Raw genomic sequence first — 16,249 nt, 5'->3', positions numbered from 1 at the left:
CCAAAATCAGCCTTGCCAAATGCTACCCAATTCATTACAATTAACTGGGTCGCTAATAAACTCCAGTGAAAAAAGCAGCCATCATGTGGTGAATAACTGAGAATCCATGAGATATTCAAAAGGGAACCCAGACACTCAACCTTAAAAGGACATGTTCTACCTAAGTGTAAGGTCGAAGATTTGCATTAAAAATTCAACAAAATAAACTGCTGTGAAAGGTAAAATCTGCCTGTGTCACCAGAAGCAGTGGGTTCAGCCAGGGCTGGAACAGTGATATTATAGAAATTAGGCATTAGGAAAAATGGACTATGTAATACATCCCCCCAGTGGGTACAGAGTATTTCGTCATATGGAGAGGTCTGTACTAAGGGTCAGGATCAGGGTGGGATCCAGGATCAGGAATACTGTAGATTTGATCTGCTCGAGTGACTGTATCAATCAACAGATAGGCGGGCAAAGTGATGTAGGTTATATTAGAAATAAGCAGAATCCAGAAGAAGCAGTTCTCACCATCCCTCCCTTTACAGGTGATTGCACTCTGGTTCCCAAGACAAGACCTATAAATGTGGAATAATTAGAGAATGAAACAATGTCATATACAATAAGGTGCAAAATTATATTAGACACTAGAAAACTGTAATTGATATTAAAAGTGCAGAAAAAAATCAGCAGGGTCTACAGTTCTTAGGAAGGGCCCTGGAGAGGTTGAATTTAACCAAAATCAGGAAATTCTGACAGCGTTTCATTGAAGTAAAGTTAGAGCAAAGATTTTTCAGATAAGAGAAAGCTCATGAGCAACGACATTTCAGTGGAAATGAGGAAGTTATGAGCAGGATAGGGTAAAACAAGCAGATAAGTATTTGACACACAGAGAGGAGAACGTCGAAAGTTTAGGATAGACTGGTTGATAAGACAGTTTTAATAAAGCTGTGTAATTTGAACTTTGTTCAGTAGGCTCCCTGAAGCTATTTAATAATATTAGTCGTAGTAGTACTATTACTAATAGTTAACTTATTATTATTATTATAGGTTGTTCTGCTTTGTTTTGTTTTGAGAAGGAGTCTCACTCTGTCATGCTCAGGCTGGAGTGCAATGGCGTGATCTTGGCTTGCTGCAACCTCTGCCTCCTGGGTTCAAGTGGTTCTCCCGCCTCAGTCTCCCAAGTAGCTGGGATTACAGGTGCCCACCACCACTCCCAGTGAACTTTTTTAGTAGAGACGAGGTTTCACCATGTTGGCCAGGCTGGTCTTGAACTCCCAACCTCAGGTGATCCACCCACCTCAGTCTCCCAAAGTGCTGGGATTACAGGCGTGAGCCACCGCACCTGGCCAAGTTTTTATTATTGAGTAATCCTTCAGGAATAGGCACCATCTAAGCATTTTACATGCAGTATTTCGTATAACCTTCATGGCAACCTCATGTGGTAGGAATCACGATTATTCCCATTTTAAGATAAAGTGTTGGCCGGTTTCAGTGGCTCATGCCTGTAATCCCAACACCTTGGGAGGCGAGGTGGGTGGATCACGAGGTCAGGAGATGGAGACCATCCTAGCCAACATGGTGAAACCGCATCTCTACACAAAGAGACAGTGGTGCATGCCTATAGTCCCAGCTACTGGGGAGGCTGAGGCAGGAAAATTGCCTGAACCTGGGAGGCGGAGCTTGCAGTGAGCCAAGATCACACCACTGCACTCCAGCCTGGGTGACAGAGTAAGATTCCGTCAAAAAAAAAAAAGAAAGAAAGAAAAAGAAAAGAAAAGAAAAAAAGATAAAGTGTTAAAAAGTCAAAGAATTTTAGAAAATTCCCCAGGTCTGTACGATGGGATTGGAATCAGAGATACGTGACCTCAGAACTTTAGTTCTTCACTCTGGTGCCATAGCTCCTTGAGTAAGAGAGTAAAGAGATGAAATCTAGTCTTTTCCACATTAGCAGTAATTAATGAGTGATTATTAGTTGCTGGTGTTCTTATGGTTACATACGAGAGACATAATATCTGATTTCCCAGAACAGAGGCATGTCATAATTCTGGAGCCCCTACTGGATCAAGATACCATGCTAGTTGTTCTACTTATGATAACTTATCAAATGTCAAATACTCCTGCAACAGGTAGATGGTTTTCTCCTCCCTCTCTCCCTTTCTATACCTCTCTCTCTCTTTCTCTCTCTCTCTCTCACACACATGCACACACACACACACACACTTACTTAACTGTTAAACTAAAGTCCAGAGATGCTAAACAATCTATCACTAGGGTCATCTCTATGACAGAGCTGGGATTCATATCCAAATCAATCTCTTTCCTAAACTAGAGGTTGGCAAATTATAGCCTGCAAGCCAAATCTGGCCGACAACCTGTTTTTGTGTGGCCTGTGAAAAGAATGTTTTTTATATTTTTAAAAGATTGAAATGTTTAAATGAGGAATATTTCATGACACATGAAAATTCTATAATTCCAATTACTGTGTCCATAAATAAAATTGTATTGGAACACCATGCCCATGTGTTTAGGTATTGTCTATGGCTGTTTTCATACTATAACAGCAGAGTTGAGTAGTTGCAACACAGACTGTCTGGTGTGCAATGCCTAAAATACTTACTGTCTGGCTCTTTCCAGATAAATTTTTCCAACCCTGTCCTAAATCGTGATCTTTCTACTATGTCACCCTGCTTCTCATTGTGTCTTGCTATCCCTAAAACATATCCATCCCACAGAGTTGAGAAAGAAGGTCAGCTAGGGTACAAGAATATCACAAAAAAGTGAAGGACATTTCCTCGTCACTTCATTATTTATTTTTATTTTTATTTTATTTATTTATTTATTTATTTATTTTGAGACAGAGTCTCGCTCTGTCACTCAGGCTGGAGTGCAATGGCGTGATCTCGGCTCACTAAAACCTCCGCCTCCTGAGTTTAAGCGATTCTCCTGCCTCAGCCTCCTGAGTAACTGGGATTACAGGCCCAGCTATTTTTTTTGGGGGGGGCGGGGGGGTATTTTTAGTAGAAACAGGGTTTCACCATGTTAGCCAGGCTGGTCTCGAACTCCTGACCTCAGGTGATCCAACCGCCTCGGCCTCCCAAAGTACTGGGATTACAGGCATGAGCCACTGCGCCTGGCCTTCCTCATCACTTTAAATTTGAGACTTGTAATAACCAGCATGTAGAAGGCTATTTATTCCCTCCTAGGCTGCAGACCTGAAATGCAAATGCAGAGCGATGGAAAAAAAAATATGTGCTATAAGGAGTATTTTAGGAAGATTTTTCTGGAGAAAAGAAGCGAAGTGGATCAGAAACAAGAAGACCAGTTGGATAATCAGGTGTCGAAGTCTCAAGCTGCTGGAATGTTTGTAGAATGATAGTTATTCCCCTAATCTGAGTCACACAACCAACTGCTTCTGCAGGAGGATATTTGGGAAAAATAAAAGTAAAAGGCCTGGTATTATAATTTAAGTGTCATTATTACCAGGTTTCAAACAACTGGCCACTTACAAAGATATTTTAACTTGGATATGGCAGCTCTTTAGCTATTCACATTAATCCAGACATCAAGAGGACCATTTTCTGAGATCCTTCAACTTCATGTGCTACACCTCTTGTGACAAGTTTGACTAAAACCTATGCATTACAAAGCCCTTCATTCAAGCAGTTTATGTCTTGGTGTTCGGAGACAATGATAACCTTTGCCAAGATTTCAATCAGCAATGTGGAGACATTGAGTGCGTTCAGCAGTTTTGTGTTCACTGTGTACCATGATCTCAAAAATTAAGGCAGAGACTGGACAAAGTGTGTATCCCATTGCTGCATGGGGAGCAAAAAACCAAGGTTTTGACACCCAACACACTAATTATCAACCATGAATTATGGAGTGTCAGACTCCAGTCCACAATCTTTTACAGAGAGCAAATCCTAATAACAACAATAACATTTTTAAAGAAAAATACTGCTGCTTGGTATGGATCTGATTCTGAAAAATCTTTTTTTTTTTTTTCTGAGCTAATGTGTCACGTTGTCAAGGTTGTGTCAACCATAAAGGTGATATGTCAAAATGACAATCAGTTTACTAAGGTAAAAATAAGTGTATTTTCCCCTAAACTGCAGTTTGCTTAACCTCATTTTAAAAATAAACTGCCCAAAGCAGACAGAAAGAAAATTTGGGCATTATCAGTTGTCCACATTTGAGCACTGCTATCTAAAAAAGCACACACCAAAAGCTTTTAAGAAGGGGCTGTGCAATGCTTTTTCATTAGGGTCAGTCTGTCAGGTAATTATCCCCTGTGAGTATCTGGACTATAGTCTTTTTTTTTTTTTTCTGTGCTAGAGGAAGCCAAAAGAACTGCTCCATGCCCAACCGCACTTTCTGGTTCTAAGTGAAGTTTTTCTAGTGTCAGCTCATGCCCCAGGTTCTTTGTGGGCTTGAGGGCCTAAATGTTCTTCCGCATCAGGTCATCTTTTCATTTCAAGATGCCTATTGAGCAGAGTCAAAAGAGCAGCCTCCATAGAGGTTGACAGGAAGAAGTGAAGGGGATTTGAGAAGAAAGGGACAATGGGGTCTTGCATTTATTTGAAAGGGGCCAGGGATAAAATGTTAGGCATAGTCAAACAAATGCACTGTTACAGGACTTCCTCATCCGGCCCACTTATCCCTGGGCCCAGATTGAAAGAGATTGAAAAGTTGTTCATACTAGATTTAGACACAAATCGAATAAGTAATATTTCCTATACATAAGTGGAATAGTCTTTCCAAGTTACAGGAATGCTTTGATTAATAAAACAGAATTTTATTTAAAGATGACAGTTACTTAATACATTTTTACCATTATGTATTTTATTTTAATAAACAGCAACTATTAAAGTACAACTACCAGACTTTGGGGGTCTGAGATAATTTTTGACAATTGCAAAAATTGCTCACACTCAATAACTTTGGGAACCATGTGCCTGAGACCTTAGAAAATTAAATATCCAAAAGATCAGAGAAAAAATACGTATTATTCTACTGTGAATGATGCACAGAGCAATGGAATTTGTCTAATAAACTAGTTAGCTTTTATGGTAGATTATTAAACAGATGGTATTAGAAAAGAGATGATCACTGTAAGCCAGCATCAATTTACTACAGACAAACAAATCGTGGCTAACAAATCTAATTTTCTTAGACAAAAGGGTTACTAGAATCATTGGCCAATAAAGCATTGTAGAGATCCTATATCTGGATTTCTATAAAAGAGATGACAAGATTGGGCATGGTGGCTCATGCCTGTAATCCTAGTACTTTGGATGGCCGAGGAGGGCGGATCACCTGAGGTCAGGAGTTCGAGACCAGCCTGGCCAACATGGTGAAACGCCATCTCTACTAAAAAAAACACAAAAATGAGCCGGGCGTGGTGGTGTGGGCCTGTAGTCCCAGCTACTTGGGAGGCTGAAGCAGGAGAATCGCTTGAACCTGGAAGGCAGAGATTTCAGTGAGCTGGGATCACACCACTGCACTCCAGCCTGGGCAATAGAGCAAGACTCTCTCTCAAAAAAAAAAAAAAAAAGAGAGAGAGAGAGAGATGACAAAGACACCAGTGATATTCCGGTCACCAAAAGGAAAATGTGGACTAAGTAACATGGCATATCAGTTGGGATATTTTTGGCAAACGTCAGAAACCTAATGCTAACTGTCTGAAGCAGAAGAGTTCTTCTTCTGGTTCATGTAACGGAAAAGTCTAGACCCGGCTTTGATTCTAGAATGACTGGATCTAAAACTGTGGGAGGTGCAATGAGGATTTGGGTTTTTTCTCTTTATCTCTTTGCTCCACTTTGGCCTCGGTCACTTGCATGCTAAGCACGGTGACTCTTAACAGTTCTAATCTTACTTCTTCCCAGTTTCAATTCCAGTCACAAAGTCTCTCTTCCCAGCACTTCTACAAAGGTCAGGAATTTAAACTCAATAGACTGACTTACATTATGTTTCCAATCTTTTAGCTAGTGGAAGTCGGTATTCTCATTGACAAGTTTGATGACATGACAGCATGGGAACCAGGGATAAACTCAGCCCTCAAAATCATATAGAGTGAGAATGCAGAACGGTGGTTCCTCAAGAAAAATATATGGCCAGAGGAGGAAGAAATAGATGTTGGATAGCAAAAACAACAAAAGTCTAGTACATATAGTTAAGTATATGAATCAGTAAATCAACTTGAACATGTGTTTGATACACACCTCGTGGTCCTACCTTTGGTTTGGTACTTTCCTGAAGTCACTGAAGTAACATTGATCACATTTTTCACTGACACAAAAGTTTACTAAATGTTTCAACTGTCTTAATTATGACTCAATAATGACTTTGACATGTTAGACATTTAGGGCCATAACCAAGATGATGGAATTTTACAGGCATATCTATGAGGTTTTCTACTGATGTTCAAAAATTAATTATATAAGCAGAGAAGAAAGTTAGTATGACAGTAGTTCATTTGAAAAAGACCCAGAGGTTTGAGTTAACCACGTGGTCAATATGAACTTGTGAAAGCAATCTTTAGGTTGCGGTATTAAAAATGTAGTATTCAGCTCAAGGTCAATAATAGTTTCTTTATTTTCTGTGCAAGTCTGATCAGATAGAGAATTTTATGTAGCATTCTGGATATTATATTTTGATTGGGGTAATGTCCTTTTTCACATTTAACACAACTTATAATGGTATATTTGTGTTGTTCTTTGATACATATTTACCTTCCCCCTCTTGAATATAAATTTCTTGAGGCCAGAGTTCATTGTGTGTGTGTGTGTGTGTGTGTGTGTGTGTGTGTGTGTGTTTCCACTGGATCGCTGTAGAGTAGCATTGATAAATATGCTTTACAGAACGAAATAAAAGAAAACCTAAAAGTGCCCTGGACCAGGGACGGTGGCTCATTCCTGTAACCCCAACACTTTGGGAGGCTGAAATGGGCCGATTGCTTGAGCTTAGGAGTTTGAGACGAGCCCGGGAAACATGGCAAGACCCCCGTCTCTACAAAAAATACAAAAATTAGAAGGACTTGGTGGTGCCCACCTGTGGCCCCAGCTACTGAAGAGGCTGAGGTGGGAGGATTGCTTGAGCCTGGGAGGCTGAGGCTGCAGTGAGCCAAGATCATGCCAATGCACTCTAGCCTGGGTGACAAAGTGAGACCCTGTCTCAAACAAAACAAAACAAAACAAAAAAGTGTTCTGAAGCAGAGAAGATAAAGAAGGGAGTTAACTTAAGAGCTCTTTTATGAGAAGAATAGATGAAGGAACACACACGCTTAGCTTAGCAAAGGAAGATATTAAAATAATGTGATGTATGTCTTCAAATGTTTGAAAGACCAGTAGAACGAGCAAGTAGTGCCCACAGAATATTGCCCTCTCTTTTTTATAAACCATTCAAACTGAACTTAGATGAACCACTGTAAATAATATTGTACAAGGAGTTTCAACTGGGTAGGAGGAGAGATGACTAGCTTGCACAGTTCCTTGCAATTTTGATGGAATAAGGCATGTTAATTCTACAAATATTACCAAGCTCTTGGGAACCTCATTTAATGCCTTGGCCAGTCGTGTCAAATTAGTAACATTCTGGAGATAGTGTTGTACTGAGCCATGGGTCTTAGTTCATTTTTTGCTGCTATGACAGAGTAACTGAGACTAGGTAGTTTATAGGGAACTGAGATCTATTTCCTACAGGTCCAGTGGCTGGGATGTCCAAGGTTGAGGGGCCCACATCTGGCAAGGAGTTTCTTGCTACATTATCCGTAGTGAAAAAGCAAGAAAGCATAAGTGCTAGAGAGAGTGAGCTTGAACTTGCAGGCTCAAGTCCTTTTATGATGTCTTTCTGGCATTAGTTCATTCATGAACATGGGGCCCTCATGATCTAAGCACCTCCTATTACACCCCACCTTCCAACATTGTTGCATTGGGAATTAAGTTTCCAAGACATACTTTTGGGGACACAAACTATAGCATTACGCAAAAGTCAAAAATTCATATCTGACTATGCTGAAGGTTATAATTGATGGTTTGCCCAAATGAGATGCAATAGAATCTCATTCTCTTAAATACACAGGAGTGAGGCAATCATCACTTGGGCACATGTGGGAAAGAAGCATGAGGCTTCAAGTCAAGTTTCTCCATCGTTTTTCCTCTTCTCCTCCTTCCTTCCCAAGAATAGAGTTTAAAACACTTTTTGAAATAAGTGACCCATTGTCTGGCATTTGGATAATTTTTTGTGTATCTGTATATATTTGGAATTGTGTGTGGCTTAAAGTACTTGTTTATGTAACTTGTTTTATATTTGCATATAGACTAAAGCATATATAAATATATATGTAAATGTTAAATTATTTATGTTGAGAACAGAAACTAGGCTTTGTATGTTGTATATATTCTAAAGGAGATGGCTGTGATCTTTTATTCAAATACCTCTCCCATCTAAAGGGCTATCCCCTCTCTTCTTTAAAAATATAGATTACATCCACCCTACTCAAGTCATACCCTACCATATTTAGAACTTTTATCCAATTTTGCTGTCTCATTATTTTTTGACAATATAAATCCAGTTCTCTGGGTAGCATTATGTGCCTAACACTGTGCCATAAATGTTGCAACTCCATGGTAGAAATTTCAGTTTGACTGTAAGCAATTAGAGGCCGCCAGGGTGCTGTCTTCCTGTATAAAGCCATGAAGAGCTCCACACATTCCTGGGCACGTAAAGGTTGTTTAATAATTAAAATCATTTGAGACCAGACTGCTAACATGGTGAAATCTGGTCCCTACTAAAAATACAAAATTTGGCCGTGCGTGGTGGCGCATGCCTGTAATCCCATCTACTTGGGAGGCTGAGGCAGGAGAATTGCTAGAACCCAGGAGGCGGAGGTTGCAGTGAGCCAAGATCACGCCATTGCACTCCAGCCTGGGTGACAGAACGAGACTCTGTCTCAAAAACAAAAATAATAATAAAATAATAATAATTAAAATCAAAGCCAGGCTTTTTGGGAGAAAAGGATCCTCTTCTCCTGGTACTTTCCATCATTTCTTCAAATGCATCTGTGGAAAACCCTGTGCTTAGATTCTTTTAAAAGTGTTTTTACAAAGAAATTCATCTATAATCAAAGCAGCAAGAATGAGTCAACCTAAGAAACATCATAATTTCTCCTAAGGGTTAAATTGTTTCAAATCAGGAGTCAAAATTATATTTATACTAATGACAACCTTAAAAATGTAACACAGCATTCAATTTTTGCATTAAAATTACACATTTTAAATACCAAAAGCTTGATGTGAATTTTATACTCTGTTTATGTTAAACCAAAAAAGTGAACTTAAAAGTAATCATGTAAATTGAATGATAATAAGAGTTCTTTTATATCTTTAGACTACTTCAAATGAATAATTTAAAAGGCATCAAGCAAAATATTTTATTAACATAAAGTTAATGGTATATTTTTATGGTACCTGATTTTCAAAAATTTGCTCTAAGACATTATCATAATCAGCTCATGTCAGTTGTGCGCCATTTTACATACACTATTTTTGAATAAAGTTAATGCACTCATTGGCACAGAAGCTCAGTTTAAATCTTATTCCTGAACTATCACTGTTGGCCTTATTAACATACTTTTAATTTGCCAATTTCTACGTAAATCCGAAATGAAGATGGCATTACTCTTTGAAATGTAATATCTATCGAAGTGTTTTTGATATAAAAATGTCACATAAAAATTTGGTTGTTTTTGTTAAACCAACCAGGATGAAAATCCTAAGAATCAGCAGATTACCCACCATGAAATGGAGCAGGAGGTATTTTTACTCAGAAATTACATCACGATACAAATAAAACTTTACAGTAGTGACTCTCCTGTAAATTAGATATGTATTCCTTCTCCATGAATGTGGCTTTTCTCAATATGTTGGCTTGGACTGTAACATAAACCTATAAATTACATATGCAAAAGAAACTGGCTTATTTTCAAATATGAATTTTCATATATAATAATATTGCAGCAGATATTTTTGATTAAAAATCAGGCAATTATTCAGTAATTTCTCTCATATATTAAAAATAGTGGAATAAATAGCCATTGACACTACAATTTGTCCTGCCCTTTTGTATGACATGAGGCCTATATTACTATAATTTTACTAATATTACAGTAAATAATAAAAGACACTTAACTTACAAAATTAATGTGAAATTTGACTTATGACATCAGCCCCTTTCTCTTTAGTTGGCTCTGCAAGTTTCACCATCAAACAATCCATTTCCTAAGTATTTCTCATAACAAATGCCAGAATCTATGGAAATCCAACTGCATGAGCATCAGGCCCATTTTCTTGAGTACAAAGGGAAAAAAAGACCGTCCTGTTGGAGAATTCTAAACATTCTTAGCATCAGTCGCTACCTCATTTTGTGTATGTATGTGTATGCTTTATCTTTCGTCTACTACCCAGAATGCCAGAATGAGAGTCATATTCCATCCTTGATTAGACACAAATCTCAGTGGTGTTTTGCACTTAAATCAAAGGCCCAGAATAGTCCTTTAGAAACCTTTAAATAAATAAATGGATGTAGGAAAAGATATATTTTCCTATTGCTCCTGAGAATTGTCTTCAACTCCCATTGGTTGTCCAAGAACAAAGAACATTTTTCGTATTTCTCTTGATGTTTTTAACTTTCTGTTTTCTTAGCATCTAGGTTTTTTTTCCTCCAGTGTATGTGTTTTAGTCTAATAGAGCTTTTGAGTGCCCAGGTACCGCTGTGATAAGTGCCACAGAAATACTTATGTAGAAAGATAGATTGCTCTGAACTCACTTCCATTCTCTTTTTTCCAAACAAAACTTCCAGTGATAGAAAAAAAAAATGCCACTAGTTTATAAAAATCAATGGTGTTTTTGTCTGCATAAGGAGTATGGGATTATGTCAAAAAGAGTGATATAATCAATATTGGATTCCTAGAAAATGGAGCCTTCTCCTTAGAAGAAAAACAGTTTTAAAAAATGCCTCAGAAGCATGGCATGTCTTTGAGAATGTCACCCACCTAGCCTGTAAGTGATCGGGTTTCTTTTTCTCTAGCTTTGGTGCTAAATTTATGAGAAATTAAAAGTGAGTAGATTTCTCAAGCACCATAAATTAAAAAACAGAAAGCAGTAAACTAAGTATAGTAATAGAACCAGTGGAGGAGCAACTGCAGGCTCAGAGCTCTAGAAACAAACGTGGCATGTTTAATTACCCTTATAAAAGGACTTGGAACTTTGATAATCTAGTATGTAAAATTGTTGCAACATTGGAGAATAGCCTGAATTAAAAATTCCAATTGATGGCGCGTCAAAATAAAATCTAAGAAGATGATGAGGGTGAATATCGTGTCCCGGGAGTTTCCTTTCAGTACTTCAGCGTGTTTATAATCACCCAGTAAACATTTGAAGCCCCAACATGTACAAATGATTAATTTAAAACAGAAACAAAGCAGGAGGAATTTGGTATGTGCAGTCCAGTGGCATACTTCAAAGATTCCATGAGAAGAGAGTACTTTGTGATGGAAATTCTTTTCCTTTGGGCATTCTCATTGCCACTCGATATTCAAGATGCTTTTCCCATATTTTCCCTGGCACAGTATAGCCTTTTCCTCTAAAGAAGTCAGACAATTCTTGGAAATAAAAGAGGAAGATGATACAAATCATTACAGAGTCAGTTTTACAGAAACTGTATGACCTTGGGGAGCAAACACTATGTCAATGCTGGGATGGTACACGTGGTGGTACGTTGCTTTGCATACTGTTTGTGTGCTTTGAAATCGAAGAGGAGCATTTTAATTAATTTGAAGTTCTATTTTGCTCATTCCTGTCAACCATAGACTATTTATGAAACTATTTAAAAGCCAGCTTGTCCTAGGAACATTTCTAGTCTTCCTAACTGGATTTTAACTTGACCCTGAGCTCCAAGCTTACCTCCAAAACTCACAAAGTGTGTTTCTTTGTCACTTCAATATTATTCTGATGTATTCAGATCTTGTAAGAGTTGTTTATTACCCACCGTGTCTCCACTGCTAGACTGTGAGCCTTCAAGAGCTGGAATCTTCTTCCCCTACAAGCCCTGCCACTCTGACCACCCTGCCACTCTCATTGGGTCTGGGCCTCAGTGATTATTTTCATGACTGTGGGATTAGCAGATACTCTCCTTCTTTCTGAGCTGCATTTTCCTCCCTTGTTCACCTGGAAGTTCTGATTACCTTCTCTGGAATTCTGCCACAGTCCTACTCCACCCCGACCAAGTAGGATAAACGGTGTCATTGCTTGTGCTGTGCCAGCACTCTGCAGGTACCTTCTGTTCAGCATATGACACACAATAGTCTAAATTGCCTTCTCTCCTCCATTCCTTGAGTGTGCTGTTTTCTATGTCTTTATGACCCAAGGATTTAACAAAGTTTTTGGCATAAGGATAGATATTTGGTAAATGTTTCTCAGTTGCCTTTGTATCTTACTCATTACCTCACACAATTCTTTGTTCTGAACAAACACTGAATAACATTGGCTAGAGAAAATGCTATATTTTCCTAAAATTATCTTCTCCGTTGCAGAATCAAGAAGGGAGAATAAACATATTGGGTTGTGTGTCCAGTTTCTAACAATCTTCCTTTTTCTGAGCAGCCATTTTTTAAATTTCTTCTAGAAAAAAAACCAAGCAAACAAAAGACAAACAAAAACAAACAAACAAAAAACAAAATACATGTTATAGAACGTGCAGGCTTGTTACATAGGTATATGTGTGCTGTGGTGGTTTGCCTCATCTATTTACCTATCCTCTAAGTTCCCTCCCATCACCCCCAACCCCAACAGGCCCTGGTGTGTGTTGTTCCCCTCTCTGTGTCCATGTGTTCTCAATGTTCAACTCCCACTTACTAGTGAGAACATGCGGTGTTTGGTTTTCTGTTCTTGTGTTAGCTTGCTGAGAATGATGGCTTCCAGCTTCACCCATGTCCCTGCAAAGGACATGATCTCTGAGCAGCCATTTTATGTCAAGCATGACCCACCCTTCACCACGTATGATGGATAGGTCCAGGGCAAGGCATCTGACCCAAGCTAGAACTGTGAAAATTTCTCTCCCAAAAATAAGGATGCCAGAGAGGATTGAGAGAGACAAAGAAAGAGAGAAGTTTCAGTTGAGATTCTACCTTTGGGTGGCTTTACTTGTAGCAAGCAACCTTGAGATCTGACAGTTCCTGTGAAAGTGTCAATTGTATTCAGTTGTACAGAGGGAAAACCCTAGGAAAGGTAGTCTGGAGAAATATTTTCAGAGGAGCAGAAAGCAAATGTGAAGGGCAACCGTCTAGACAATCTTCCTGCTCTTGGTTCTGGATCTGTTTTACTGAACTAGCAACACTGCTCTCCTTAAGTTTTGTGAGATATCCCTGTATCCTTATAATAAGCTCTCCCTGTTCTATATAGATCAGTTTAGTCTGCTACCTATGATAAAAAATATTCCTGATTGTTTCAGGGGAAAATGTATTTAGGTATATAAAATGTCTTAGGAGATATGATTGTCAGCAATGATCTTTTCTACTCTTCTCCCTGTCTTTTTTAGTTGTTTATAGCTGTTGTAACAAATGACCACAAACCTAGTGTCTTAAAACCACACTGATTTATTATCTTACAGTTGTGGAGGTCAAAAGTCTGACATAGATCTCAATGGGGTAACATCATGGTATCAGCAGAGTAGCTGATATAATGGTATTTCCATTCTGGAGAGTCTAGGGGAAAATCAATTTCCCTTCTTTTTCTAGCTCCTAGAGGCTGCCCACATTCCTTGGTCCATTTTCCCCCTCCTCTATCTTCAAAAATAGCAACAGTAGGTTGAGTCCTTACATTGCATCACTAACTTCCTCTTCTGCCTCTTTCTTTCATTTTTAAGGACCCATAACCCAGGATAATATTCTTATCTCAAAGTGCTTATCTTAAGCACATCTGCAGAGCTCCCTTTGTTAGGTAAACTAACATACTCACAAGTTCTGGGGAATAGATGTGGACATCTTTGAAATGGTTGGGTGGGCATTATTCTACCAGCCACTTTCTCTCTGAACTCCCAAAACATAAACTATATTACTGGTTTTATTGTAAATCCCAGTCCTCTTCCTCAACTCCCCCCAACACACACGTGCACACACAATAGAATGTAGGTTCCACCGAAGCCTGAAATTAATTTTTTTATTTATTATTTTTTCCCAATGCCTACCACAAAGCCGGATACAGTGTAGGTGTTCAATAACTATCCAATAAATATTGAATGTAATCAGTGCCTCCATAAACCCTGCTACTTTTTCTGTCTTTTACTAGGAAAGAGTTAAAGCAATAGCACATCAGTATACTATTTCTTCTATTTACAGTCTAATCTTGTTAGAGACTTGTAATGTTTACATGCATAGGCTTTGGGTCAATCAGACCTGAGTTTGACTTTCTCCTTGGAATCACTATTTCCTGGAAAGAGATAGAAAATGAAAAAACAAACAAACATAAAAACCACTCAGCATAGTTTACCATGTGCCAAACATTGTTCTAAGAACTTTATATGCATGTTCTCATTTTACTCTCACAAAGGGAAAGTGTATCTGCCCAGTGAAATCATGGAATCACGGGAGATGAAATAGTACGTTAGCAGGGTTTTCTGTCTATTTCATAGTAAGAATAATGTCTGATTCCAAATGTGCTCATGTACTAATCCCCAAAGATGTCTGTGTCTTAATCCTTGGAAACTGTGAATATGTTGGATTACATGGCAAAGAGGAATTAAGGCTGCTAATCAGCTGACCTTAAAATAGGGAGAGTATCCTAGGTCGTGCAGGTGGCCCCAAAGTAATCCCAAAGCTGCTTAAAGTTGGGGGAGGGCAGAAGAAGAGAGAGTCAGAAGAAGATGTTATTATGCATAAGTGGTCATAACAATGCAGCACTCCTGGCTTTGAAGATGAAGAAAGGGGGTCATGAGCTGCAGAATGTCAGCAGCCTCTAGAACGTAGAAAAAGAAAGGCAATGAATTCACCCTTAGAGCCTCCAGAATGGAACACAGCCTTGAAGACACCTTGGTTTTATCCCAGTAAGATCTATGTTGAGACCTCTGACAATTCTGACTTCTACAAAACTGTAAGGCGATAAAGGTGCTGTTTTTATCTACTATGTTTATGGTAATTTATTATGGCAGCAAATAGAAAACTGATACTGAGCCATTTTTTATTAAAACTTAAGCATATTTCACTACATCATCCACCTTTAAAAAATGGACTCCTTTCATATTCTCATTTTAAGTGAAATTAAACTTTCTCAAATATAATTTTGTTTGGAACAATCATTGCTGGACTCTCCTTCTCTCATTTCTCTTGTTTCATGAGACGAATAAGAGCAGCATGCACTTTTCTTAAGTGTATTGCCAGTTTTTCCCCTAAGAATTAAAAATCCATTGTCTGTTTAATAACTTAGCCTCACAGCCTCTAAAAAAGTTTTAGTATACAACAGCTCCAATTCCTTTCCTGTTCAGGAACCAACACCAAGGTCTCCATTTGGAACCAGAACCTAAACTACGGTGTAGGAGACATGGGGGAAGGATCATCTAGGTTGTTGACTTGGGGAAGATAAGCTACTCACAGGTCCCTAACTCATCATTGTTTCCTAGTAACAACAATTGCTTGAAAATCAGGTAAAATGGCTCTCTTCTACCTACTTAAAACCTCTATGTACAATAATAATGTTTGACTATTTCATTCATCTTTTTTTTTTTTTTTTTTTTTTGACAGAGTCTCGCTTTGCTGCCCAGGCTGTAGTGCAGTGGTGTGATCTCAGCTCACTGCAAGCTCTGCCTCCCAGGTTCACACCATTCTCCTGCCTCAGCTTCCTGAGGAGCTGGGACTACAGGTGCACGCCACCACACCCAGCTAATTTCTTGAATTTTTAGTAGAGACGGGGTTTCACCGTGTTATCCAGGATGGTCTTGATCTCCTGACCTCCTGATCCTCCCACCTTGGCCTCCCAAAGTGCTGGGATTACAGGCTTGAGCCACTGCGCCCGGCTCATTCATCTTCCTTATTTCCCTCAACCTGCTGTCTCTCTTTTTCTGTCATTCCCTTCTGCTTTTTCCCAGTCCAGGTTTGAATACCCGCCTCCAAGTGATAGGAAAGAACAGCCAAGTTTGAATGCACACTGATGTTTCAGGACCATGGACAGTAGCATCGGTTGCCCAGGAAAGTACAAATGGTATATCATTATTTTAAAAG

General features: G+C 38.8%; 1 long non-coding RNA gene across 1 annotated transcript in view; it reads left to right on the top strand.

Moving 5' to 3' along the window:
- LOC105377706 (uncharacterized) overlaps positions 1-15,809 on the top strand; it is a 50,105-nt gene extending 34,296 nt beyond the window's left edge. Inside the window, exons 2-3 of the long non-coding RNA XR_941182.1 lie at positions 15,517-15,675; positions 15,773-15,809. This is a non-coding gene — a long non-coding RNA (uncharacterized LOC105377706). The remainder of the gene's footprint in view (positions 1-15,516; positions 15,676-15,772) is intronic.
- The last annotated feature ends 440 nt before the right edge of the window (positions 15,810-16,249 follow it).

This window comes from Homo sapiens, chromosome 5 (genome assembly GCF_000001405.40).
Source record: "Homo sapiens chromosome 5, GRCh38.p14 Primary Assembly".
Classification (NCBI taxonomy): Eukaryota; Metazoa; Chordata; class Mammalia; order Primates; family Hominidae; genus Homo; species Homo sapiens.
Note: the sequence above shows the minus strand (reverse complement) of the source record. Positions and strands in the feature narration are given on the sequence as shown.